This window comes from Homo sapiens, chromosome 2 (assembly GCF_000001405.40).
Source record: "Homo sapiens chromosome 2, GRCh38.p14 Primary Assembly".
Classification (NCBI taxonomy): Eukaryota; Metazoa; Chordata; class Mammalia; order Primates; family Hominidae; genus Homo; species Homo sapiens.
Window position 1 is genome coordinate 12,856,125 of NC_000002.12, and position 1,574 is coordinate 12,857,698.

The window sequence follows — 1,574 nt, forward strand, 5'->3', positions numbered from 1 at the left end:
CATTTCACCAAGAATCTCTCTTGGTTCTGCTTTGCTTATGTGATGATGGCTGTATTCTCAGGTGGGGTTACTGCAGGTATTGGCAAAATAGCCACCTACAGCCTCAGGCTACCCTTTTAGCGATGTCCACAGAGCAACAGTTCTTCCTTCCCATTTGCTTTAGTAGGGAATCCTGATTCCATTGAGTAGGATTGGTCCTACTTGAGTAATTTATAAACCTGGAGAGTGGAGGGATTCAGTGCTGTGGCTGGCCGGACTTGGGACACACATCTTTCTGTAGAGACCGGGGGTAGGGGTCAGGCTAACCCAACACACAAGCCTGAGAGGGATGGAAGAAGTTCCCAGAGAGATGAAGGGATGTTAGCAGAGAGGGGAACAGACAGCAGATGGGCAAATACAAAACATGTCCATTGTCTGTATGGTCTAATTTCCTGAACATCTCTTCAGTCACCCCACATTTCAGGATTCCCTAATATACCAGACCCATATACCTCAAGTTTTTGTACTAGATTGTTCTCTTGTCCTCAGATGCCTTTCCTCATCTCTTTTTGTTTGTCAAACTTCTACTTATGCCTCAGGACTGAAATATCACCTCTTCTGTGGAGCTTCCTTTTTAGCTGTCCCTACTAAACTCGTACCTCCCTCCTCTGTGCACGCATAGCATTTTGTCCATGAAAAGAAGGAATTGAATTAATTAGCAAGGATAAGGAGCTGAACAATCCACATCCTTTTTGGAAATGGAAAGCAGATGATGCTGTATTAGATAAGATCAAACAACATCAAATAAACAAATGTTTATTGAGTGTGTACCATGCACAAGGCTTTCCAAGCAGAACCTTGCTGATTGTGTGTGTGTGTGTGTGTGTGTGTGCACGTGTGCTTGCAGATGCTTAGAATCACAGGCTTTTATGATCTGGGTTTCTTAAACCTTATCTGGTTCAACCACTTCCTTATTCAGATCAGGTAACTGAGGCTGAAGTGGGTTTCTTTCTAGCTCTAAAAAGTATATGATCTGAGTCACTAAAAGGAAGGAAAGGTTGGCCCAATTCTAGGCCAAAAAACCACAGCTATGTAGCTTAAACTTCCTGTTTTAAATGCCATGCCAGGATAAAATTCTTGTCTACAGGGTAACAACCACTCCAGAGAGAGAATCAAAATTAACACCAACCTCTTTCTTTCCCCTGCCTCTTTCTCTCTCTCAATTTCTCTCTCTTTCTCTCTCGCTTCTCTTTCTCCCTTTATTTCTCTGTTGCCTCTCTTAAGGAGACATAGGAAACTAAGAGGACTGAGTGGCAGGGCCAAGGCATTGGGAGCACGATTCATACTTTTTTTTCTATCTTGCTGATGTGTTTATAGAAGTACACTATTTATGACTCAGTACATAGTGAAGAGACATAACAAATTTTTCTGGGAATTCAAAATATGCAAACAGAATATGTATCAAATGCATGAGAATTATGGGGACATATGTTTTAAAACAAAGGGATAAAGGTGCCTACTCTTTGTGACAAAGTCCCTTCCATGTTTATGACAATGTCTGCATAGCCATTCTCTTTTGAAGAAGCCAGAATTGG

At 41.7% G+C, this 1,574-nt stretch overlaps 1 annotated feature.

Moving 5' to 3' along the window:
• Nucleotides 881-1,044: a transcriptional cis regulatory region, noted in NCBI's record as "silencer 9 or peak_14494 region targeted for CRISPR/Cas9 genome editing". NCBI's record gives its function as "negatively regulates TRIB2 gene expression in K562 erythroleukemia cells {active_cell/tissue: K562}" and the evidence as "EXISTENCE:mutant phenotype evidence [ECO:0000015][PMID:32103011]".